This window comes from Homo sapiens, chromosome 3 (assembly GCF_000001405.40).
Source record: "Homo sapiens chromosome 3, GRCh38.p14 Primary Assembly".
NCBI classification, from domain to species: domain Eukaryota; kingdom Metazoa; phylum Chordata; class Mammalia; order Primates; family Hominidae; genus Homo; species Homo sapiens.
The window spans coordinates 121,898,816-121,926,023 of NC_000003.12; the positions used below are offsets into that span (position 1 = coordinate 121,898,816).

At 39.4% G+C, this 27,208-nt stretch overlaps 1 protein-coding gene across 4 annotated transcripts in view; it reads left to right on the forward strand.

Annotated features, from left to right (window-relative positions):
- Positions 1-27,208, forward strand: part of SLC15A2 (solute carrier family 15 member 2) — a 49,788-nt gene that overhangs the window by 4,415 nt on the left and 18,165 nt on the right. For 3 of the 4 annotated variants that reach the window (NM_021082.4, XM_005247722.4, XM_006713736.4), the window contains exons 4-13: positions 12,759-12,851; positions 14,206-14,305; positions 16,412-16,502; positions 16,801-16,878; positions 23,405-23,487; positions 23,960-24,046; positions 24,225-24,314; positions 24,407-24,451; positions 25,536-25,568; positions 26,130-26,218. In NM_021082.4, coding sequence (NP_066568.3) covers positions 12,759-12,851; positions 14,206-14,305; positions 16,412-16,502; positions 16,801-16,878; positions 23,405-23,487; positions 23,960-24,046; positions 24,225-24,314; positions 24,407-24,451; positions 25,536-25,568; positions 26,130-26,218 — 789 coding nt within the window. The remainder of the gene's footprint in view (positions 1-12,758; positions 12,852-14,205; positions 14,306-16,411; positions 16,503-16,800; positions 16,879-23,404; positions 23,488-23,959; positions 24,047-24,224; positions 24,315-24,406; positions 24,452-25,535; positions 25,569-26,129; positions 26,219-27,208) is intronic. The other variant, NM_001145998.2, reaches the window with a different exon arrangement.

Genomic DNA, 27,208 nt, shown 5'->3' on the forward strand with positions numbered 1-27,208 from the left:
TTAGTAAACAATGGTTTATAGCTTACTTTGGCCGATATATGTTCATTATTCTATAAGTGTTTAATCAGCACCTAATATATATCTATAGACATAACACAGTACTGAACAGTTTCTTGACTTGGGAGAGGAATGGTGGGTGAGTAGCTGAGATCTACATTTGCTACATATGTAGTAGTAGTCACCAAGTTTATCTAGATAGGAGATTGGCACTACTTGCAGAATAAAAAGTGCAAGCCATAATCTATTTATTCAGTTGTAGAATAAAGATTCATATACATGACATACCACTTTTATTTATTTTAAAAATAACTTCCTTTAAGATTGAAGAAGTACAGTTACAGGATTTGGTGAGCAATTGTTTCCTGGTTAATTCAGAGAAAATTTAACAACCTCTACTTGTGCTCTCAAATCAATCCTTCTTGATGTATTTATTATTGTTTTTAATTTATTTTTATTGGGATATAACTTACATAAAGTACACAAATTCAAAAGCCTTAACTGTACACCTTGATCAGTTTTTATGTATGTATCACCATCACCTAGATCACTCTCCCTAGGGTCTCTGTACCCTCACTATTCCCCTCTCTTGCCTTCAAATTCTCCCAGAGAACCAGAGTCTTTTCCTTCAACTAGAAGCAGGAGCAAATCTTTAATAGCTTTAAATGAACAAAACTCATCTTGACTCTCTTTTCCTATCATTTTTCTCCTTTTACATTAACCCCATATTATAAAAATAATCCTCTGTATGTGTTGCCTTTCTCACTCTTCATTATCAGTTCTTATGGTAGAGTAATATAATATAATGCAATATAATCCAATTCAATTTAATTTGATTTGACCCAATTTAATTCAATAAATGTTTATTGAGCACCTTCTGTTTGTCCAAGGAACCATGGAGGATGAAGAGGTGAATTACACATACTACCTAATTCATATTGTTCATATTCAAATAGCTTTAATACAGATCATATTGTAGTACAATAAGATATACTGTAAATCATCTTTTTTCCTTCTGAAATTACTCCCTAAGATCACTGGTAAGAATTTCTTCATTAGCAAATTCCAGTGGTCTTTTCTAAATTCTTACTCATTTTGAACTTGTTGTTAACATTTCAGTCTGTTTATCATTTCTGTGAAACTCCCTGGCCTTCTCTACAGTATATTTTTCTCACTCTCGTCCTCTTATATCTTTTCTTACTTATCTGGCTTCTCTTTTGCCTCTTGTTTACTTCACTCTTTCCTGAGTGTAAGCATTTTCCCAGGTTATAACTTTTACCCTCTTCTCTTTCTCTAGATTCTTCCTTAGCAAATTCTGTGGTGTGGATATTAGCTATATGCAGATGGCTCCTCAAATTCCAGTGAATTACATATTGGCATTCACCTCCACAAATCTGTTCTTTCTTCTGTCTTCTCTACATTCCCACCTTCAATCAGTTATCAAATTCTACCAATTCTGCTTGCCACAATCTCTCTCACATTTATCCCTTTTCAGCACAACATCCACTGCATTAGTTGCCATCACCCAGTTTTGGTCTTCATTGTCTCAATGTCTTTAAATTGAGATATTAAAATGGACATCTAAAATGTTTTTACTGCTTCCCATCTCTTTTTCCTACAATTGAGCATATATGCTACTGCCAAATTAATTTTCCTAAAAGAAATCCTGATCACATTACTACTCTGCTCAGCAATTTCTGGTGACTATTAAATCACTGTCTACTAATCTCACTCCAACTGACTTTTCTGTGCTTACTGTCATACTTATCTCCTTTCGAGAATGGCCACTAGAGGAAAATGTAATACTAATATTTCTGTAATCATATCCAATGACATCTCTTTTTCATGTCTGTTTGCATTGTTTCTGCTTCATGGAAACCCCTTCTTCCCCACCCTTTCATGTCCAAACCCCGTAAGGCTCACTCAAATACCACCTATGCTATGGAGTATTCTCTGCCCCCTCACCTTTTACTATAGCTGGAAGTAATATAGTGTTTTCTGAGTTCTTTGTTTTCTCACCCTTATATGACATTTACTAAACTCTATCTTATTATAGTTATTTAATTATTTATATATGAATCTGATATCTTCTTTCAAACACTTAGAGGACAAAGTCATTTATATATATTTTTCCCCACCCACCCCAGTCATTTATATATTATATGAATGTATATAATATGTATAATATATAAGTATATATATAATATACATATTTTTTGTCGTTGAGGCAAAGTCTCGCTCTGTCACCCAGGCTGGAGTGCAGTGATGCAATCTCGGCTCACTGCAACCTCTGCCTCCCAGGTCCAAGCGATTCTCCTGCCTCAGCCTCCTGAGTATCTGGGATTATATGCATGTACCACCATGCCCGGCTAATTTTTGTATTTTTAGTAGAGATGAGATTTCACCATGTTGGCCAGGCTGGTCTCGAACTCGACCTCAAGTGGTCCACCCACCTCTGTCTCCCAAACTGCTGGGATTACAAGTGTGAGCCACTGTGCCCGGCTGTGATTTATATTTTTATCCAAGAGCACGTAGAATAGTGCCTAGCAGATAGGCCCACAGTAAATCTTCGAATTCATAAATTTATTCACCCTCAGACCCTCAAATGTAGCCACATGACTGCAGATAGATGTAGACAGGCATGAAGGTTACTTTTATTTTATTGTGGGTATTTTGGTTGCTTTTTAAATAAGAAAACTTGGGGGTGATTTGTATCTCTTTCACAAAGGGAGTAGTTTGAGAAAATGTGGGTAACTTGTTCTCCTGTAGTCATGTTTGTGTGTGTGTGCGTGTGCATGTGTGTGTAACATATACAAACAGATGATAACAGCAACAAAAGGGAATAAGTATTTAAAACTACCCTTCCTTAAGTTGGAAAATCAGAAAAAAGACAAGACTCTTCCTTTACTGTCTTTTCTAATTTGAACCTGTAGCCTATTTTCTTCATTTGCTAGAGGAAAATGGATAGATTTTTGTTTCAAACCGTTAAGTTCTTCCCCACCTCTCATATGTTTCTCTGCCTGAGTATGTGTTTGTGTGTGTGTGTGTGTGTGTGGTGTGTTTACTTTTATTCACGTGTTACTTTGAGGGTGAAAAGCCTTCTCTAACATTAGAAAGATTGTTCAAACCCTGAAGGGGCAATTTCCTGAAGTTAGTAAACAACTTCTATTAAAAATCTTTCCTCTGTTTGCTATCCCAGAATAATAGATATGTTAAGAGGAAATGGGCATCCAGAGTCCCTGACTCTTGTTTAAGGAACTCCCTATGCCAGGAAAGAAGTGAGGCTTCCTTCAGAGCTACATACAGGAAAGACTAATCAATAGGTACGCAGTGGGAAAACAAAAATTATTAAACATGCATATTGGTTTCTCAAGGATGCTATTTGTAGTGTCAAGTTGGTTTTAAGAAAGGAAAACATTTTTAGTCATAGTTCCTAGATTTTATATCCTATTACCCAGGCTCATCAGTTTTGATTTTTGACCTGGGCAATCACTTAGAACCACTCTCTTAAACGTGTTTATTATTTTTTTATTTTAATTTAATTTTAATTTTTATTTTTTATTATACTTTAAGTTCTAGGGTACACGTGCACAACGTGCAGGTTTGTTACATAGGTATACATGTGCCATGTTGGTTTGTTGCACCCATGAACTCGCCATTTACATTAGGTATTTCTCCTAATGCTATCCCTCCACCAGCCCTCCACCCCATGACAGGCCCCCATGTGTGACGTTCCCCGCCTGGTGTCCAAGTGTTCTCATTGTTCAATTCCCACCTATGAGTGAGAACATGTGGTGTTTGGTTTTCTGTCCTTGTGATAGTTTCCTCAGAATGATGGTTTCCAGCTTCATCCATGTCCCTGCAAAGGACATGAACTCATCCTTTTTTATGGTTGCATAGTATTCCATGGTGTATATGTGCCACATTTTCTTAATCCAGTCTATCATTGATGGACATTTGGCTTGGTTGCAAGTTTTTGCTATTGTGAATAGTGCTGCAGTAAACATATGTATGCATGTGTCTTTATAGTAGCATGATTTATAATCCTTTGGGTATATACCCAGTAATGGGATGGCTGGGTCAAATGGCATTTCTAGTTCTAGATCCCTGTCTTCCACAATGGTTGAAATGGTTGAACAAGTTTACAGTCCCACCAACCAGTGTAAAAGTGTTCCTATTTCTCCACATCCTCTCCAGCATCTGCTGTCTCCTGCCTTTTTAATGATTGCCATTCTAACTGGTGTGAGATGGTATCTCATTGTGGTTTTGATTTGCATTTCTTTGATGGCCAGTGATGATGAGCATTTTTTCATGTGTCTGTTGGCTGCATAAATGTCTTCTTTTGAAAAGTGTCTGTTCATATCCTTTGCCCACTTTTTGATGGTGTTGTTTTTTTCTTGTAAATTTGTTTAAGTTCTTTGTAGATTCTAGATATTAGCCCTTTGTCAGATGGGTAGATTGCAAAAATTTTCTCCCACTCTGTAGGTTGCCTGTTCACTCTGATGGTAGTTGCTTTTGCTGTGCAGAAGCTCTTTAATTTAATTAGATCCCATTTGTCAATTTTGGCTTTGGTTGCCATTGCTTTTGGTGTTTTAGACATGAAGTCCTTGCCCATGCCTATGTCCTGAATGGTAATGTCTAGGTTTTCTTCTAGGGTTTTTATGGTTTTAGGTCTAACATGTAAGTCTTTAATCCATCTTGAATTAATTTTTGTATAAGGTGTAAGGAAGGGATCCAGTTTCAGCTTTCTACATATGGCTAGCCAGTTTTCCTAGCACCATTTATTAAATAGGGAATCCTTTCCCCATTGCTTGTTTTTGTCAGGTTTGTCAAAGATCAGATGGTTGTAGATGTGTGGTGTTATTTCTGAGGCCTCTGTTCTGTTCCATTGGTCTATATATGTGTTTTGGTACCAGTACCATGCTGTTTTGGTTACTGTCGCCTTGTAGTATAGTTTGAAGTCAGGTAGCCTGATGCCTCCAGCTTTGTTCTTTTGGCTTAGGATTGTCTTGGCAATGTGGGCTATTTTTGCGTCCATATGAACTTTAAAGTAGTTTTTTGCAATTCTCTGAAGAAAGTCATTGGTAGCTTGATGGGGATAGCATTGAATCTATAAATTACCTTGGGCAGTATGGCCATTTTCACGATATTGACTCTTCCTATCCATGAGCATGGAATGTTCTTCCATTTGTTTGTATCCTCTTTTATTTCATTGAGCAATGGTTTGTAGTTCTCCTTGAAGAGGTCCTTCACATCCCTTGTAAGTTGGATTCCTAGGTATTTTTTTCTCTTTGTAGCAATTGTGGATGGAAGTTCACTCATGATTTGGCTCTCTGTTTGTCTGTTATTGGTGTATAAGAATGCTTGTGATTTTTGTACATTGATTTTGTATCCTGAGACTTTGCTGAAGTTGCTTATCAGCTTAAGGAGATTTTGGGCTGAGACAGTGGGGTTTTCTAGATATACAATCATGTCATCTGCAAACAGGGACATTTTGACTTCCTCTTTTCCTAATTGAATACCCTTTATTTCCTTCTCCTGCCTAATTGCCCTGGCCAGAACTTCCAACACTATGTTGAATAGAAGTGGTGAGAGAGGGCATCCCTGTCTTGTACCAGTTTTCAAAGGGAATGCTTCCAGTTCTTGCCCATTCAGTATGATATTGGCTGTGGGTTTGTCATAGATAGCTCTTATTATTTTGAGATACGTTCCATCAATACCTAGTTTATTGAGAGTTTTTAGCATGAAGGGCTGTTGATTTTTGTCGAAGGCCTTTTCTGCATCTATTGAGATAATCATGTGGTTTTTGTTGTTGATTGTGTTTATATGCCGGATTACGTTTATTGATTGGCATATGTTGAACCAGCCTTGCATCCCAGGGATGAAGCCGACTTGATCATGGTGGATAACCTTTCTGATGTGCTGCTGGATTCGGTTTGCCAGTATTTTATTGAGGATTTTCACATTGGTGTTCACCAGGGATACTGGTCTAAAATTCTCTTTCTTTGTTGTCTCTGCCAGGCTTTCATATCAGGATGATGCTGGCCTCATCAAATGAGTTAGGCAGGATTCTCTCTTTTTCTATTGATTGGAATAGTTTCAGAAGGAATGATACCAGCCCCTCTTTCTACCTCTGGTAGAATTCAGCTGTGAATCCGTCTGGTCCTGGCCTTTTTTTGGTTGGTAGGCTATTAATTATTGCCTCAGTTTCAGAACCTGTTACTGATCTATTCAGAGATTCAACTTCTTTCTGGTTTAGTCTTGGGAGGGTGTATGTGTCCAGAAATTTATCCATTTCTTCTAGATTTTCTAGTTTATTTGCATAGAGGTGTTTATAGTATTCTCTGATGGTAGTTTGTATTACTGTGGAATCGGTGGTGATATCCCCTTTATCATTTTTTATTGTATCTATTTGATTCTTCTCTCTTTTCTTCTTTATTAGTCTTGCTAGTGGTCTACCAATTTTGTTGATCTTTCAAAAAACCAGCTCCTGGATTCGTTGATTTTTTGAAGGGTTTTTTGTGTCTCTATCTCCTTCAGTTCTGCTCTGATCTTAGTTATTTCTTGCCTTCTGCTAGCTTTTGAATTTGTTTGCTCTTGCTTCTCTAGTTCTTTTAATGGTGATGTTAAGGTGTCGATTTTAGATCTTTTCTGCTTTCTCTCGTGGGCATTTAGTGCTATAAGTTTCCCTCTACACACTGCTTTAAATGTGTCCCAGAGATTCTGGTATGTTGTGTCTTTGTTCTCATTGGTTTCAAAGGACATCTTTATTTCTGCCTTCATTTTGTTATTTACCCAGTAGTCATTCAGGAGCAGGTTGTTCAGTTTCCATGTAGTTGTGCATTTTGAGTGAGTTTCTTAATCCTGAGTTCTAATTTGATTGCACTGTGTTCTGAGAGACAGTTTGTTGTGATTTCTGTTTTTTTATATTTGCTGAGGAGTGCTTTACTTCCAACTATGTGGTCAATTTTGGAATAAGTGTGATGTGGTACTGAGAAGAATGTATATTCTATTGATTTGGGGTGGAGAGTTCTGTAGATGTTTATTAGGTCCACTTGGTGCAGAGCTGAGTTCATGTCCTGTATATCCTTGTTAACCTTCTATCTCATTGTTCTGTCTAATACTGACAGTGGGGTGTTAAAGTCTTCCATTATTATTGTGTGGGAGTCTAAGTCTCTTTGTAGGTCTCTAAGGACTTGCTTTATGAATCTGGGTGCTCCTGTACTGGGTGCATATATATTTAGGATAGCTAGGTCTTCTTGTTGAATTGATCCCTTTACCATTATGTAATGGCCTTCCTTGTCTCTTTTGATCTTTGTTGGTTTAAAGTCTGTTTTGTCAGAGACTAGGATTGCAACCCCTGCTTTTTTTTTGCTTTCCATTTACTTGGTAGCTTTGGTAGATCTTCCTCTATCCCTTTATTTTGAGCCTATGTGTGTCTCTGCACATGAGATGGTTCTCGTGAATACAGCACACTGATGGGTCTTGACTCTTTATCCAATTTGCCACTCTATGTCTTTTAATTGGGGCATTCAGCCCATTTACATTTAAGGTTAATATTGTTATGTGTTAATTTGATCCAATCATTATGATGTTAGCTGGTTATTTTGCCCGTTAGTTGATGCAGTTTCTTTCTAGCATTGATGGTCTTTACAATTCAGCATGTTTTTGCAGTGGCTGGTACCAGCTGTTCCTTTCCATGTTTAGCGCTTCCTTCAGGAGCTCTTTTAGGGCAGGCCTGGTGGTGACAAAATCTCTTAGCATTTGCTTGCCTGTAAAGGATTTTATTTCTCCTTCACTTATGAAGCTTAGTTTGGCTGGATATGAAATTCTGGGTTGAAAATTCTTTTCTTTAAGAATGTTGAATATTGGCCCCCACTCTCTTCTGGCTTGTAGGGTTTCTGGCGAGAGATCCACTGTTAGTCTGATGGGCTTCCCTTTGTGGGTAACCCGACCTTTCTCTCTGGCTGCCCTTAACATTTTTTCCTTCATTTCAACTTTGGTGAATCTGACAATTATGTGTCTTGGGGTTGCCCTTCTCGAGGAGTATCTTTGTGGTGTTCTCTGAATTTGAATGTTGGCCTGCCTTGCTAGGTTGGGGAAGTTCTCCTGGATAATATCTTGAAGAGTGTTTTCCAACTTGGTTCCATTCTCCCTGTCAATTTCAGGTACACCAATCAAATGTAGATTTGGTCTTTTTACATAGTCCTATATTTCTTTGAGGCTTTGTTCATTTCTTTTTACTCTTTTTTCTCTAAACTTCTCTTCTTGCTTATTTCATTTATTTGATCTTCCATCACTGATACCCTTTTTTCCACTTGATTGAATCAGCTATTGAAGCTTGTGCATGCATCACATAGTTCTCGTGCCATGGTTTTCAGCTCCATCAGGTCATTTAAAGTCTTCTCTGCAGTGTTTATTCTAGTTAGCCATTCATCTAATCTTTTTTCAAGGTTTTTAGCTTCCTTGTAATGGGTTCAAACATTCTCCTTTAGCTTGAAGAAGTTTGTTATTACCAACCTTCTGAAGCCTACTTCTGTCAGCTCATCAAAGTCATTCTCCGTCCAGCTTTGTTCCATTGCTGGCAAGGAGCTGCGATCCTTTGGAGGAGAAGAGGCACTCTGGTTTTTAGAATTTTGAGCTTTTCTGCTCTGGTTTCTCCCCATCTTTGTGGTTTTTATCTACCTTTGTTCTTTGATGCTGGTGACCTACAGATGGGGTTTTGGTGTGGATGTCCTTTCTGTTGATGTTGATGCTATTTCTTCCTTTTTATTAGTTTTCCTTCTAACAGTCAGGTCCCTCAGCTGCGGGTCTGTTGGAGTTTGCTAGAAGTCCACTCCAGACCCTGTTTGCCTGGGTATCACCAGTGGAGGCTGCAGAACAGCAAATATTGCAGAACAGCAAATATTGCTGCCTGATCCTTCCTCTGGAAACTTCGTCCCAGAGGGACACCCGCCTGTAATGAAGTGTCAGTTGGTCCCCACTGAGAGGTGTCTCCCGGTTAGGCTACACAGGCTTCAGGGACCCACTTGAGGAGGCAGTCTGTCCGTTCTCAGAGCTCAAAAACCCTACTGGGAGAACGAGTGCTCTCTTCAGAGCTGTCAGACAGGGACGTTTAAGTCTGCAGAAGTTTCTGCTGCCTTTTGTTCCGCTATGCCCTGACCCCAGAGGTGGGTGGGGTCTACAGAGGCAGCAGGCCTTGCAGAGCTGCAGTGGGCTCTGCCCAGTTCAAGCTTCCCCAGCTTCTTTGTTTACCTACTCAAGCCTCAGCAATGGCAGATGCCCCTCCCCCTACTAGGCTGCTGCCTCGTGGGTCGATCTCAGACTGCTGCGCTAGCAGTGAGCAAAGCTCCATGGGCATGGGACCCACCAAGCCAGGCGCAGGATATAATCTCCTGGTGTTCCGTTTGCTAAGACCTTTGGAAAAGCACAGTATTTGGGTGGGAGTGTTGCGATTTTCCAGGTACAGTCTGTCACGGCTTCCCTTGGCTAGGAAAGGGAAATCCCCCAACCGCTTGTCCTTCCTGGGTGAGGCAATGCTCCACCCTGCTTCAGCTCGCCCTCTGTGGGCTGCACCCACTGTCCAACCAGTCCCAATGAAATGAGCCAGGTACCTCAGTTGGAAATGCAGAAATCACCATCTTCTGCATCAACTACGCTGGGAGCTACAGACCGGAGTGGTTCGTATTCAGCCATCTTGGAGTTATTATGCTTTTGAATGTCCTCTCCACACTTCTCTTTTCTCTTTCTCTGAGTGGGTCTGTATAGTATGTCCTTTCTCTCTCCTCTTTTTTGTCTGATCAGAACTGACCTTCTTTTCTTCATGCAAGCTCTCTTCCTCTGCCATCACTACACACTCTCAGCCTCTGTATATACCTCTTCTTAGTTCCTAAGTGCCTATTAAAAATGGCTCTGGCTTTTTATATTCATATGGTGAAATAAAATGTATTACTTCTTTCTCTTCCATTTTCTTTTTCCACATTAACTTGTTCATGATAAAACCAAAGGAATGCTGGATTATGAGTTAAATATAGAAGCTCTACACCTAACCCTAATACTAATTAAAATGTCACTTTGGGGCCAGATGTAGCGGCTCATGCCTGTAATCCCAGCACTTTGGGAGGCTGAGGCAGGAGGATTGCTTGAGGCCAGGAGTTTGAGACCAGCCTGGTCAACATAGCAAGACCCCATCTCTACAATAAAAAAAAAGTCACTGTTCATTTATTTATTTTTATTTTTATTTATTTATTTATTTTTTATTTCTTTGAGATGGAGTCTTGCTCTGTCTCCCAGTCTGGAGTACAGTGTTGTGAGATCTCAGCTCACTGCAACCTCCACCTCCTGGGTTAAAGTGATCCTCCCATCTCAGCCTCCCAAGTAGCTGGGATTACAGGCATGCACCACCATGCCTGGCAAATTTTTGTATTTTTAGTGGAGGTGGGGTTTCACTGTGTTGGCCAGGCTGGTCTTGAACTCCTGACCTCAAGTGATCCGTCCACCTCAGCTTCCTGAAGTTCTGGGATTACAGGGGTGAACCACTGCAACTGGCCCAAAAGTCACTGTTTAGAAATGTCATTTGACCTGTCTGGATTTCAGTTTCTTGATTTGTAAAATTGAAGGATTAGTGAAGTCAACCTAAAGCATTTCTGTGTGCTATGGTTGGGATTACAATGACCCTAATATCTCGTTTCAAATGCAGAATTTTCAGGTCTCTTGACTTCTTGCTCCTCCTATTAGTTTCCTGCCATTAGTTTCCTCTCTTATATCCCTCATAGCTAAACTATTTCCTATGAGGTTTTTGTTTGTTTGTTGTTTTTGTTTGTTTTTTGGTTGTTTTTTTAATCTATAAGTTGCCTATTTTCCTCCTAAACCACTTACACTTCTTTCATTCATTTAGTCCAAGCTTGTCCAACCTGCAGCCTGCAGGCCACATGCAGCCCAGGACAGCTTTGAATGTGGCCCAGTACAAATTTATAAACTTTCTTAAAACATTATTAGATTTTTTTTTTTAGCTCACCAATTATTGTTAGTGTTGGTGTATTTTATGTGTGGCCCAAGACAATATATCTTCCAATGTGGCCCAGGGAAGCCAAAAGATTGGACACCCCTGATTTAGTCCATCAATTGGATACCGATCTTACTACCCAGACTATATCACTCCAGCTCAAACTCCTTTTTTTTTCCTCTATGATGATCTAACATAGATCATCTGTTTGGGGTTCATGATAGCTAGCATTTTTTTTTCTGTTCCTTTTTATTCCCTTTCTATTTATTCTTTTTATTACAACAAAGAGAACCTTTCTCTAGAAGATGTTACAAGATCTTTTGGGAAAGTTGTTCCCTCCCCTGATGTTAATTAGTCCTAGATTAGTCACCTAACTTTTTTTTTTTTTTTTTTTTTGAGACGGAGTCTTGCTCTGTCGCCAGTATGGAGTGCAGTGGCACCATCTCTCGGCTCACTGCAACCTCTGACTCCCTGGTTCAAGCGATTCTCCTGCCTCAGCCTCCCCGCTAGCTGGGATTATAGGTGCATGTCACCACGCCCAGCTAATTTTTGTATTTTTGGTAGACACAGGGTTTCACCATGTTGGTCAGGATGGTCTCGATCTCCTGACCTCGTGATCCACCCACCTTGGCCCCCCAAAGTGCTGGGATTACAAGCGTGAGCCACCGTGCCCTAGTCACCTAACTTCTTGTCCGCTACCCGCCATACACTTTAAGTTCCCTTCCCTAGAAAGCTAACCCAAGGATTAGGCACTTAGAATGAGAAATCCACATCCTGAGAGTTCTGACATCTCTGGCCTCTCTTTGCTATCTTTATTCCATTCTATTCTCTTTATTCCACATTAGCATAAAACACCTTAAAAATTGCAGGTGTAAACTGTAATTTCCAAGGTTCATTATAATGCTAACATTCTACTTATATGTGGGAATGCTGGTGTGGTAGTACACATAAGGAATATATGTTGTAGTGCGCCATATTTCAATGTGTGAATCTCTCTATATGTTCTTACTGGAGTTCCTTATTCTTCTACTTTCTATTTGCTGTTCAAGTTCTTTGAGAAAACAATACAACAGGATGTTCCTTCCAACTGCATGATTTTTGTCACTGGACAGTCTATTCTAAGTCCCTGGCTCCTTTCTTACCCTTGTTAACTTGTCCCTGAGGAAACTGTGGTGAGGATTACAATTAATCCAAGAGTCCAAGTTACCCAGGCTGAACCTGAGAGCTTTTTACCTCCCAGTGCTTCTTGAGTTTTGAGGAAGTTGTTTGGGTTAGCCATTCCTGTTTACTTGGAGTTCTTCCTTGACCCTTCTTGCTCTCTACAGCAGAAGATATTCCTTGAGAAAAACACCTAAGGTCCAAATATCCTCTTCTACTGGTTCTCCCAATTTAAAGCACTGTCACTTTTGCTACAAATCCACCTTGTTCTTGTCATGTCTGTACAAAGTAGGGTTTCTCTGTGTGTGTGTGGAGTGAGCGGGTAGAGGCAAAGGGGAAGGTGGGTATAGGAAGGGAACTTGAAGGGAATGTCTATTACCTCTAACACTAAAGAGTGAAGAATTCCACTCCTTTTTCCTAGTCTGTTCACTTCATTCACCATTATTGTCTCTATTTGGATTTCTCAGATAATTCTTTCCTCCTCCCTCCTCCTCCTCCTCCATTTATCCCCACACTGAGAACAGTATGAACCCTAAGTCTGTATTATTCAAATCTCTCAGTTCTGGTTTTAGACTGACTGATTTAGCTCTCTCAACAGGACAATCATCTATCTCTCCTTGGTGTATGTGCTTGGCCATGTGATCAAGTCCTTGGGTGCCTTACCAATACTGGGAGGACAAGTGGTACACACGTGAGTAAAATCATGGAATCAACTAAACTACTTTTCTCAGACATTTGTTACAAATTATTTTCTGTTTTCTTACCAGAGATGTCTCTTTATTTTCAATCTACAGTTTACTACAAAACTGGTTAAGAAAAACAGTCTTATGACCAGTTGAACTCTTTCCTACTTTATCTGAGCTCATCTGTTTTTGGGACTTGTAGAATGCCTAGTTAGTATCCTCTTCATATGCTTGAAAATAATCAAAACCTTCATACCCTACATATTCCCTCACCTTTTTATTCATCCATGCATCTATACTTTACCAGGGTTAAAAAAAACTCTATAATGTTTCCTTATAATTAATTGTAGAAGTCATACTCAAAGCTTTGAATATTTACATTTATGTGTAGTTCCATATATTTCAGTTGCTATTGATGTTTATGGGATCAGAGGCATTTGATAAATTCTGATGTCTGTCTATTCAGTCAGTAGAGAGGATTACAGCTGTTCACAAAGCAGTTTATATGTATTCATATTATAATGTGCCTGTGTGCCTGTGTACATGTATTTATCCTATGAGTTAGAAATTTTGTTTGTTTGTTTGTTTGTTTTTAGACAGAGTCTTGCTCTGTTGCCCAGGCTGGAGTGCAGTGGTGTGATTTTGGCTCACTGAAACCTTTGCCTCCTGGGTTCAAGTGATTCTCCCACCTCAGCCTCCCGAGTCGCTGGGATTACAGGCGGCTGCCACCACGCCCGGCTAATTTGTGTATTTTTCGTAGAGATGGGGTTTTACCATGTTGGCCAGGCTGGTCTTGAACTCCTGACCTCAGGTGATCCACCTGCCTCAGCTTCCCAAAGTGCTGGGATTATAGACGTAGCCTCTGCACCTGGCCTTGATATTTAATAAATATTACTTTCTTATTGGTGTCCCGTCAAAAATCTTTGACACTGTTGCTATTAATTATGATGAATTTGAACATTTTTTTTTAAATTTTGGTAAGAATATGTGAGATCAGGTCCTTAAAGGTCTTTCCATTGAAGTACTCCTTTGACCAAAACAAGATTGGGAACCAGTGTGTTAGCTTTGGAGTTCCTTCAGTATCTGTTTCTATCGGATGCTCATAAGGGGTAAATGGAACTACCAGGGATGAAATCTTCCCACATAATGCATACTTTCTTGCAGAGGCCGAAGGATCATAAATAGGGTAATTGACCATGAATACCTCCTAGGAATAAAGGCAAATGGAAAGTACCCATGGGGTAGAAATGTGAAGGGGATCTTTGCCCTTGTACACATTTTTTCCCCTCTGCAGCTCTGTAGTCCATCTCTACAGGTGCATTTAGTATCAACATGGTTGGCATTCTCACCTCTCCATTTCAGAGTCCTATCATTGATCGGCCTGAGTCTAATAGCTTTGGGGACAGGAGGCATCAAACCCTGTGTGGCAGCTTTTGGTGGAGACCAGTTTGAAGAAAAACATGTAAGAATCCTGTTATTTTGTATTTTCAAGAATATAGAGCCAGCATTAATGGGGGTATCTGGCAGGTAGCCATTTGCCAAGATTGAAGTAATGTACTGGTCAGATCTTATCTGAGCAGTTGTATTCAATGCTGGATACTGGCCATTAATAGTGAGGAAAACTGAAACAGTTTCAAAGGAAAGAGACCAGGGTGGTAGATGAACTAAAAGGTATGTCTTATGAGGAAAGATTGAAGGAAATAGGGATAGTTAGCCTGGACAAGAATTGAGGAGAATACTATAGCTGCTTATAGATGCTGGAAGGATGTCAGTGATTAAACCTGAGACCAATGAGTGAAAGCCTCCAAGAAGCCAGTGTTTTGCTTGATGGGTGGAAAAACTTCAAACAATTGGAAGTAGTAAGTTTACTCTAACTTGAGGTATTTAGAAAGAAATGTGGTAAGCACTTTGGCAATGGGAGGTGATAAGTAGTATAGAGATGATTTTAGCATCTTGTTTTGAGATTCCATGAAATGGGAAAGTGACAAATTGCAAGGAAACGTAATGAATGTCTATAGATGAATTTCCCTGACTGATCATTCCCTCTCTTCCTAAATACTTTCCATTACCAGTGGTGAAAAATAAATGGGCATTTATGAGAAAGCAGTGACAAATAGGCAAGGAAATAGTCTATTTCTAGATCTGTCAACATTTCTGGCTTCCTCAGTTTTGCTTCCAGTTTTCAGTTTTGTCTGTCTTCATGTATCCATTCTCTCTTCTATAACTGTTTATCTTTTTTCCAGTTTCTCTTTTTCTCCCCCACTCCTTCTCTCTTTCTCTCTCTCCCCCCCACCTCCCGCCACTCTCTCTCTCTCTCTTTCCTCTTCCCTCTTCCACCCTGACATAATGCCTATTATCTCCTTCTGCCTCTGCTATCCTGTCCTGTCTTCCAGTGTTTTTCTTACCTTTCAGACCATTTGGGTTATTTTATACTCTTTATCTGTCAAAGAGTCCATAGATCATAATTGCTTGCTGACTTTGGAGAAAGAACCAACTTTTGGCAAGTGGGATCCTGTGTATGATGAACTATACAAATTAGATAAGTGGAATAAGGTTTAAATTGAAACCAGGAGAGGAAACAAAACACACTATAAATAGAAAATGGGGAAGGACTCGTTGTTCTAATATGGCAGGGAGAGATCTGGGGTGTCAGAATGAAGCATGTCGGTGTATAATGAACGAAACATCAGCAACTTTATTTGAAAGTTGTTTCATTTGGTAACTGCTCCACAAAGATATTTCAATTAGTAAGACAAATCTGCCTCCAGGTTTCCACTAGCCACTTCTAAGCCAGATGATTTCTTTTTAGACTCTCTGGCAAATCTCCGTTAAGCACTAGGTGAACTATCCTCCTTCATTAACAGTTGACTCCACTGTCCTATGTTCTGGTACTATTCCTACCACACACTCCTACCACAAAATCTATTATTTAACTAAATCAGGCATTCACTTAGTTAATACAGTCAATAAACATTTATCGAGTCCCTAATATATGTCGGATGCTGTGCTAGGTATTGGTGATTACAGAAATGAGTAAGATAAAATTTCTGCTCTAAAGAAACTCACAACATACTGAAAAAACAGACACTTACGGGAGGCAGAGGCAGGAGAATGGCTTGAGCCCGGGAGGCGGAGTTTGCAGTAAGCTGAGACTGCGCCACTGCATTCCAGCCTGGGCGGCAGAGTGAGACTCCATCTCAAAAAAAAAAAAAAAAAACCACAAACACACACATGAAATAAAAAACCCAGACATTTAATGCAAAGACATTAATATTAGAATAGCTATATACAGGATACGGTAGTGGCACTGAAGACAGGAAGATTATTTTTAACCTATGAAAAGGGAGGAAAAGAATGCTAAAGCTGCTCTGGAGTTTGAAAGGTGAGTAAATGATTGGGGTCAGCCAGCAATGTTTTTAAATATCTATTAATAATATGAAATTCAGGTATTGTGGAGGCAATATCTGAATCTTTCTCTTTGTGTGTACCTTCAGCTCTGAATCTGAACGTGGAGTGGGGCTGGAGCTAGGGGACACATTGCACTGATGATTTATCCTGTTTGTTTCAGGCAGAGGAACGGACTAGATACTTCTCAGTCTTCTACCTGTCCATCAATGCAGGGAGCTTGATTTCTACATTTATCACACCCATGCTGAGAGGTTAGGATTTTTTTGAGGGGCCCTGTATAAGGCTTTGCTCTGGTCAGCCAAAAAGCTGTTCAAGGCTTTCTCCTGTCTATCATCTCCTTTTATAAGAGCTTGATAATCTGTGAAAATTTATTTTAGTCTTGATTTGTCTGGCCCAAAAGAAGAACTATGGATTAGGTGATGGGAGGAAAGAGGGTGGTTATGTCTATTCTACAAGCTCAGGTTTATTCAACAACCTGAGCTTGTAGAATAAAACATCAAATATTCAAGACTCAGAGTTACTTTCCTCCTCCCATCCCATTTTCTTTAGGAGATGTGCAATGTTTTGGAGAAGACTGCTATGCATTGGCTTTTGGAGTTCCAGGACTGCTCATGGTAATTGCACTTGGTAAGTGCAGTGAAGCAAAGGAAACTAATAATCATTGATACCTGACACATGTAAAGCATCATGTAGGCACTTTACACAAGCTGTTTCATTCAATCCTCACACCAGGCCTATTGGGTAACTGTTATTGTAAGGGTTTCCCCTCAATTTTGGAGGTAAATTCTGAATGAAGTCAGAAACTTTAAGAAAAAAGTGCCTAAGGTTGCATAACCAGTAAGATGCTTTCTGGGGAGCCTTAAAAAGTCCAAACTCTGGGCCAGTCAGGGACTTGGGCTTTTTTTTAGTATCTCGGGTCATTCTAATGTATAGTCAAGGTGGAGATCCACTGCTCTACACTACAATATATAGGGAAGCAAGGAAGATAATCCTCTTTCAAATTAGTTTACTTCATATTATACTTATTTATCTGGTAATTGGAAAAGATTTTAAATTCTCCAAGCCTTTTAAAACAGCTTCTAGGTTTAGCTATTTCTGCCCTGCTCTGTAGTGCCCCCAAAGGGTCTGCCCTTGAGTAAAGAGAATAAGAGGAGTTGGATAAATAGGTGAAAATTAATGCAACTTAAATCAAGTGGCATTCTCTTTATCCCTGAGAACCCAGTCCTGGAAGAGAAGAGGGATGTGGTGTTCCTTATTTTACATAGCCTAAGGGAAAACTTGGGCATGATTATTTCTAATCATTGACCTGGAAACCTGTTCTCCACTCTGAGCCTCAGAGTGACACCCCCTTGGAAGATATCCAGTGCAAACCCATAAAGAGCTCAACAGAGGAAAAACAGCCTACAGACTCAATGCTCAGTGTATTTTCTACCAGGGAGTTGATGGGAGGGCACTGATAGTAGTACTCAGAATTCCCAATGCCAAGGAAATTTATTATAGGTGAGCTGTGATAATATATTCTTTACTTCCTTCTGCATTCAAAGCCAAATATTTTCCCAAATATTTGCATGATAATAATATTTACATAACAGAGTAATTATGAAGATAAAACAGAGATGCTATAAATGAAATGTTTCATAAATTATGAAATGTTAAACAAGTGCTAGCTGTCATTATTAGTCAGCAGCTTCAGTTTTCTGGGTGCTAATCAATAACTCAATTCTCTGATCTTTTACTGTAATTAATTTCTTTTTTCTTTTTTTTTCTTTTTTGAGATGGAGTCTCGCTCTGTCGCCCAGGCTGGAGTGCAGTGGCATGATCTCGGCTCACTGCAAGCTCCACGTCCCGGGTTCACGCCATTCTCCTGCCTCAGCCTCCCGAGTAGCTGGGACTACAGGCGCCCACCACCATGCCTGGCTAATTTTTTGTATTTTTAGTAGAGACAGGGTTTCACCGTGTTAGCCAGGATGGTCTCGATCTCCTGACCTTGTGATCTGCCTGCCTCAGCCTCCCAAAGTGCTAGGATTACAGGTGTGAGCCACCACGCCCAGCCAATTAATTTATTTTTTCATTCACTCATTTTTTTAACCAACATTTAATGAACCTATTGTGTGCCATATTATGTGCTAGGTATTGGGATCACATTGGTGAATTAGATACCTAGAGCATTCATGTTCCCAAAGAACTTATATAGTTCAGTAGGGAAAGGAAGACAAACAAATAAAAGGAATTTACAATATGGTATGATCAGTATTTCCCAGATCAATATAGTGTGATCTAGGAAAGTACAGAGAGAGCTATGGGAATGCATAGAAGCAATGTTTAATTAAGACCTTGAGGGACCGGGCATAGTGGCTCACACCTGTAATCCCAGCACTTTGGGAGGCCGAGGCAGGAGGATTGCGTGAGCTCAGGAGTTTGAGACCATCCTGGACAACACAGCATGACTCCATCTATACAAACATTTAAAAATTAGCCGAGTATGATGGCGCACACCTATGATCCCAACTATTTGGGAGGCTGAGATGGGAGGATCGCTTGAGCCCAGAAGGTCAAGGCTGCGATGAGCCATGATTGAGCCACTGCACTTCAGCCTGGGCAACAGAGCAAGCCCCTGTCTCAAAAATAAATAAATGAATAAAATAATAAATAAATAAATAATACTTTGGGGATTGTAAAAAGTTTGCCTAAAGGAATGACATTTAAGGTGAGACCTAAGGGCCAAACAGCAATTAATCAATAAAGAAATTATAAGTGATGCAGAAAGAGGACACAGTAGCTGTAAGACAAGAGGCTGAGAAATAGCATGACATGTTTAAAGGTTTTAAAGGCATTCAGATTACCTAAAGCATAAAAAAGAATGATAAAGAGGAGAAACTGCCAGAAACCAGATAATGAAGGGCCTTTTAAACCAATAAGAAATTAGAACTTTATTGTGAGGGAGAGTGGGGAACTCTAAAAACATTTTAACAGAGGAATAATTGCTAGATTTTAATTTTTCAATGATGTTTCTATAATGTAGAGAAAGGATTGTGTTGGAGTGAGGCAAAGATAATATTTATTTTGATTACCGAATTTTTTGATACTTGCTTAAATTTAGTGCTTGAGATGAGTGCTTCACTCAGTTTACCCTAATCTGGCCCTGGTTGAATTAACAAACCTTAGAATGGTTAGATATGTTAAGTGAGGGAGAAGATAAGCCAAGGTTTAATGTAGTGTTCTGAACCTTGAACAACTGGGTAGGTAGTGGGGTTATTAACTGAGCTAGTGAGGAAAAGCCAGTTTGGGGCAATGTTGATAAATTTAGTTTTGAACATGTTGCATTTTATATGTTCTTGGAATATTTAATTGGAGTTACCAAACAGTTATTTGGAAATACAGGATTAGAGCTTAGAAGAAATGTTTGCACTATAGATATAGATCTGGAGTCATTAGTATATGGGTAGCAATAAACCATGAAATGAAGATAGATAACTAAAAGCTAGAAGAGTAAGGTTAAAAAAAAAAGTGGGGTGGGGGGATAGGTTCAAACTTCAAGAAACGCCAGGATTTAAAAGACAGGCAAAGAGGAAAAGCCCACAAATGAGACTAAGAAGGAATGGCCAAAGTGGTAATAGCGTTATCTTGGATATGAAGAAGATTTCAAGAAAAGATTCATTTAGAGTGATAAATGTTCCTGAGTGGGAGATTAAGATAAGGGTGACAGATGTCTATTAAATACAACAACAAGGAGGTCACTGATACGATTAGATCAGTTATGGTAAATGGTGGAGGCTGAAGACTGATTGGAGGAGACTGAGAAGTAAATGTTACAGGATTCCTTCAGTGCTGCTTTGTCAGCCAGAAATCTCTGTGGCCACTACCGCCTCTGTCTGGGCCTTGCTCTGGCCCACTGGGCTCGCTCAGCCTGCGACTGGACTGGGCATGTAGCGAGCAGCTTCTGTGTTGGGTGCGGCATCTAGACAAGGGGAACACGGTGGCGCCCAAAAACTCGGAGATGCTAGCAATTGCAGAGTCCTAAGAGGTGTTATAGCTCCTGCTCAGGGAGTCCCAAGGTCTGAGCCCCCAGAAATGTTACAGCTGTTCACTCCTGTAGTTCAACGAGCAGGAGCATGTTACAACTCTCTCCTGTAGTCTAGCGAGCGGGAGCGTGTTACGGCTCTTTTATTCCCGCTGCCCATAGCTTGGCGAGCTGCCCAGGGGTGTCACAGCCCTTTCATTCCCATCACCCACAGCTCAGCAAGTTCCGGGTTCTTGTCCCATGATGAAGAGGAATGGGGTGTGTGGACACCAGAGAGTGAGTAAAGCAGAGAAGAATTTTATTGAGTGGCAGAAGGAAAGCTCTGAGCTCCTAGAGGGGACCCGAAGTAGGTAGCCGTCTGTGAGGCTTAGTGTGGGTTTTTTATGGGTTTTGAATGGGGGAGTACATGCTGATTGGTCCATGGGTGGGTTTGGAAAAAGTACCACTAGATTGGTTAAAAGGCATCATCCAAAAGGAACCAATGGAGAGAGAGGATAAGACGGAGATAGAAGTTCTCACTCAGGTCATGGACTCTATCAGGAACCGGCAAGTCGGTTTTCAGGCTTTAAACTGTCTTTGGCTTGAAGGTCGGGTTTCACTGGGACCCGTCCGTGTCTGCCTAGGAATTTATCTGTCTCTTGTCACTATCAGTAAGAAAGTGAAATAGTATTTATAGTTGGAAGGTGACATGGATTCAAGAGAGGATATTGAGCATGTGTGAATATTATTAGGAATAATCCAGTGGAGAAAGAGGTTGAAGATACAAGATAAAGACAGTATAATCAGTATGAAAACACATATGAGCAAATTAGCTGCGGATAGGAGGAGGAATATCACCTTCACCTACCTGGAGGGAGGACAGGATGAGTGTGGATACAAGAATTAATAGATCTGGTGGCAGGGAGTTGAAGGAGTTTCCATTTGAAGGTTTCCATTTTCTTTGTGAAGTAAGAGGCAACATCATCTACTAGAAGGAGTAGATAGTAGAGAAATTCAAGGTTTATACTCATCTTCTTTAGTTAAGTGTCTTTGACATGTAAGTATGACTTTAGTTGATTACATAAGTCTTCCTATTATCACTCCACTGTCACTATTGCAACCAGCATTCCTGTGGTGTCCAGCCTCTTTCTAGGATCATTCTTAGTTTCAGGAGCAGTTTATTCCCTACCCAAAATTTTCCTTTGTCCAGGTATCTCTTTTTTTGTTTTTTATTTTTTACTTTTTTTGGAGACATAGTCTCACTGTGTCAGCAGGCTGGAGTGTGGTGGCGCAATCTCAGCTCACTGCAACCTCCGCCTCTGAGGTTCAAGTGATTCTCCTGCCTTAGCGCCTAAGTAGCTGGGACTACAGGTGCGCACCACCACGCCCAGCTAATTTTTGTATTTTTAGCAGAGATGGGGTTTCACCATGTTGGCCAGGTTGGTCAGCTCAATCTCTCGACCTTGTAATCCATCCGCCTTAGCCTTCCAAACTGCTAAGTTTACGGGTGTGAGCCACCGCGCCCAGCCGTCTAGGTACTTTTTTATCTGCCCACTTGACTCTCAGGATTAGCATTCCTCCACTGAACTATTTTTTCTATCAACCATGAGAAGGGTATTATAGATAAAGGATGCTATTTGGAGAAGCTTTGGGGAAATTGAGAGGATGAATGAGAAAAAGTGGTAGAGTGAATCTAAATGAGACGAATGGAGATATTAAAAAGTGATGGGAGAGAAAAGTAAAGTGATTTGTGCATTCTGATGTGTAAGGATACTGGAAAATGCTACTTGTCACTGAGAAAATCATCTTTAGCAGAGGATCTACTAGAGGGGCATCACGCTGAAGCTGGGAAATCCGTTAAGGAGGAAAGTGCATCTGGGAGGGAACCAAGATGGAGTATTTCTACTGATTTTAATTGAATGAAATTGAAAAAACCACTATTTTATAACTACAAAGGTAATACCAGCTCATTGTTAATTTGGAAAATAAAAGGAAAATTAAAGAAATGAAATTCCCTTACAATTAGCTGTGGATATGTGGTTAAAGGACAGAGATATGGGCTGAAAGAAACAGAATGAGCTCAAGAACAGAAATAGTATAGAACAGAAGTGTTTGTATAAATGATGAATAGTGTTTACAGCATAGGGTATCTCAAAAAGATAGATGAAATATAAAGTGGGAAACGGCAGGTTGAGGTGAACTCCTTTGAGGACAGGGACCTTGTTTTTTTCACCTGTGTTACCAGTAGTGTCTAGTACAGTATGTGGTGTAAGAATTAGTGAGTGAGATGCATTATAAGGATTAAATACATAGATTTTTGAGTCAGTCAAGCCTCAGGTCAAAAGTCCAGTTCTGGTATCTTCTAGCAGTGTAACCTTGTACAAGGTGCTTAATTTCCTTAATATTCCTTCATGTATAAAATAGAGATAGTGGTACATATTTTGTCAAGCTAAATCAATTAATGTATGTAAAATGCTTAACAAGTTACATGTGATAAACCTTCAAATAGATGTTAGGGATAACAATAACCATTAGGATAACAATGAATTTGGGAAGGTCTTTCATGCCAGGAGTTTGGGTCAGGTAAGTATTAATAGATCCTGGAAAGAAACATTTGGCATCAGATTAAAGAAGGAAGAGACTAGGGAATGAGAAACTAGTTGGTGGCCATTTTAATAATCCAAAGTACAAGTTGTGAAGTCCTGAACAAGAGTGGTAGCAGTAGTAAAGTGAAAGAGGGGGCAAATAGGCAATACGTTAAAGAAAGAGGACCAATAAAACTTGGTAACATTTCAGATATGGAGATGGAGAAAGAAGAGTAAGAAGTCAAAGATGACTTCCACTTCTGTGATTACATGAAAGTCTCAATAGATATCTCTCTTAACAACATACCATTTTGTCTTCTCTTGGCTCCTGCAATTTTGATAACTCCAAAAGTCAGGAAATGTAAGTCAGCTCCCTCTTTATGAGATTTGCCAGCCACTCCCACAGTTCAGCATTCTGTCCTTAGCGCTGATATACTGAATGTGCTATTTAGGTTTGTGCAAAAGTTATTGTGGTTTTTGCCATTGAAAGTAATGGCAAAACTGCAATAACCTTTGCACCAACCTAATAAATGAGAAGCTAAGAACCTTGTTTGTGTATCAACTGCAGTTGTGTTTGCAATGGGAAGCAAAATATACAATAAACCACCCCCTGAAGGAAACATAGTGGCTCAAGTTTTCAAATGTATCTGGGTAAGTCCATAAATTGTTTTCTTGCCTTTTTCAATCAAAAGAAAGAGATGCTATGCTGAGAATATGGGCCTTCAAACGTGGGCATACATTTTTCTCAATGACCTCTATTCTATTTTCATGTTTTTTAACAAGCTAAGATTAACCAGTCTTCTTCTTATGCCTCTACTTAACCATTAAGTTAAAAAAAGTAATCATCTTTTTAAGTTGGCAAAAATCTTCTGAAATGTAATTATATATAGACAGATAACATTTTTTCTTTTTTGTTGTTATTTTTTGTTTTGAATGGCAAGTTCTTTCTTAAAGTGATAGATAAAATTATATCAGAAATATTCTGAAATTCAATGCCTGATTAGGTCAAAGAGTTGGAATAAGTCACTAGAAGTATGGTGTTTGAAGGAAGGTATAATAAGTTGGAAAAGGCAGAGGATGTTTTTCTCTTTGTCTCTCCCATGATGTCTACTCTCTGCCCTAGTTTGCTATTTCCAATCGTTTCAAGAACCGTTCTGGAGACATTCCAAAGCGACAGCACTGGCTAGACTGGGCGGCTGAGAAATATCCAGTAAGTTGGAAATGCAGAAACATCTTATGGCTTGATAGAGTCTTTCCTAATGTTCAAAATGATTCTATCCTACTGCATTCAACCTCCTCTCTACTGTTTTTTGGACACTTCTACTTTAAGCAAGAAAGCCATGTACAGAACTTCTAGCATTTCTGCCCATTCTTCCTCCTTTTCGCAGAAGCAGCTCATTATGGATGTAAAGGCACTGACCAGGGTACTATTCCTTTATATCCCATTGCCCATGTTCTGGGCTCTTTTGGATCAGCAGGTAAGAATAGTTCTTTTGGACATTACCGCTCCTTACAGCCACTTCCCTCTCACAGGAAAGGGATTTCTCATAACAGGATCTGTTTGCCCTAGGGTTCACGATGGACTTTGCAAGCCATCAGGATGAATAGGAATTTGGTGAGTAGAAGAGATTTTCCAGAGAAGTCTATTATTTTCTTCATCATCCATATTGGGGAAAAATTAATTTCTTTGTGATTTTGCCTGAAAACTAACAAGATCTTCAGAGAAGTGCTTTTAGCCTGAAGGTACCGTGTAGGCAAAGATAAAGAAAGCTAGTTTAGAAATAAAAACCAGAATCTTCTCTTTAGAAATCAGGAACATAAGGATGAGAAAGTTTCAATGTATACAAGGAAGTATTGAGAGGCTAGCAAATGATGTGATGCGTAACCTGGGATAGTGATTTTCTTCTGTCTAAGCCTATCCCAGAGTACAGCAGGGACAGGTTTGAGTGGCACTACTACGCAATTGGTCTATCTCTTCAACAAGGATCACAGCAGGGGACCTGTGGGAAATGGAATATTTTGTATGTATGGATATGGAAAGAATGAGAAGGTTATACGTATTATTTTCTCTTTTTCCAAACTCCATTCTTTAGCCCACTCAAATAAGGTACCATCTCTACTCTCAATTGTTCTTTTCCTAGATTAGTGTATTATTTTTCTATCTTCTCAGTTTTTGAAAAGACAGAGTAGAATGATACCAGGGTCTTATTAGTCAGTCTATTTGGAGCCTGCAAAATATAATTTTACCTTTTCCCTTCCTCTGGCTGTCTCTTATTTACCATGGTGGTCTTCTTGTTGACCCTCTGGAGAACAACTTTGGAAACACTATGTGTCAGGGAGAGTCTTCACCCTAACCATGATGTCTTGCCCTTCATATTATTACAACCTAGAACTGCAGTTGCTGAGATCAATAAAAATGCACTGACTCTATTCTCTTTCAAGTTAAGGAAAGCATAATACATAGAAAATAATTTCTCCCTTAGGCCCATCTGCCTGGCAAACATAGCCAGAAGCTTTCCCAAGTCTGTTCCCATCCCCCAAATAATCTTAACAGCAAAATAGTGGCCCTGAACCAAAGACCTGATGAATTTTCTCTCATATGTTTCTCACTTGCTAACTAGCAAAATTATTGATCTAGGCCAACATTTTTTTTTCTTTTCTTCAGACATCAACTAAATTAATTTGTTAAAATGTTTCAGGGGTTTTTTGTGCTTCAGCCGGACCAGATGCAGGTATGTGACTCTTCTATAGCCATGGGGACTTATTTGTTTCCTTATCTATGCCTCCACCTGCAGTATTACGATTAACAACCATAATTTGATGCTTTTCTCCTTGTACGCTGATAAGGGCCAAGCTTCGACATGAAAACATTCCCATTAAGCCCCACCCTTCTCCTTCACATCCCCTGTTAAGTACTTAACTTGCAACGGGTTAAGTGTAAGCATTGGATTTTTTTCCAAGTCAAGATAGTATAATCAAAATCTTGTAAAAGAAATTGTAAGGCTTATTTTGTGAGCAATGAAGTCATGAGAGGAAAGAGCTCACAATAAGGCTGGCAGAAAGACAGGCTCAGAGTGAAACTTGTCCCTTGGGATATTTGAAAGCTAAAATGCTATGCAAGGGAAATAGGGTCTTGGGTGTAAATGGACTGAGGAATGTGGAGTCATTCTGTACTTACAATGACAAAAGTGTGTGTAGATGTGAGACAGAGTGTAAACAAGCAAATGAGTGCAGTGCTCACACTCATGATAGGAGAATATTTGTAGCTAATCCTTTTTATCATGGTGTTACAGGTTCTAAATCCCCTTCTGGTTCTTATCTTCATCCCGTTGTTTGACTTTGTCATTTATCGTCTGGTCTCCAAGTGTGGAATTAACTTCTCGTAAGTGTTCACTATGTCTGTATGGATTACTCTAAATTGACTCAGTCTTTGCCCAGTTTGAAAAAGATTCAATGTCAGTATTTTTCTTAGTGAGGATTGGTTTTAGTTTATCATCTATCTGCTTCTATTTTTCCATGTTAGACTAACTGCCTATTGACCCTGAAAAATGTGAATTAGATATAATTAATGAGAGTCAAAGCCATTACTGTGGACTTAACTGTGTAATGGTGGTGGAGGGGCAGGTCTAGGTTTCATGCCAAACCAAAAATATGTGAAATTTAGCTCCTAAACCAACTTTCTTCTTTGTTCTTGAATGTTGTCTCTTCAAAGAAACTCAAGGCCTTTGATGACTACTAATCCCTTTAAATCTCCTGTTGTCCCTACAAAACAAATGGGGAACCTAGTAGGACTGGGGACTGAATTATTCCCAATTACTGCCTGAAATTTTTTCTAAATAGAAGGACTAGTCTTTTTTAGAGTTTGGCAAAAGAAAGTTTCAAGCCTTCTTTCATTCTTGATTTAATAGCAATTTCATTGTGATGACCACTTTACCAGATGAAAATGGCCCTTTGTCATTTGTTCATTGAGCAAATGTTGGGAAGTTTAGGACCAAGTGTCATGAAAATATAAATCAAGCAAAAAAAAAAACAACATTTCCCTCAAACAGTTTATTACTTAGTAAAGGGGCTAGACTATATATATATATATATATATATATATATATATATATATATATATATATATATATAAAATACAACTACTACACAGGTAAAATAAGTGTCCTAAGAAGGGAAGATCAAGTGCCAAGGAGAGGTAGAAAAGAAAAAGTCCCTCCCCTGCCAAAGCCAACAGATTTCTGCAGAGGAATGTGAGGTAAAGCATGTACAGCACTTGGCATATGGCATTTGTTCAATAAACCTGATTGTATTGCCATTATTTTTGGTGTTATGACATAGCGAATAGAAAAACCATCATAAGCAAAGATGGAGG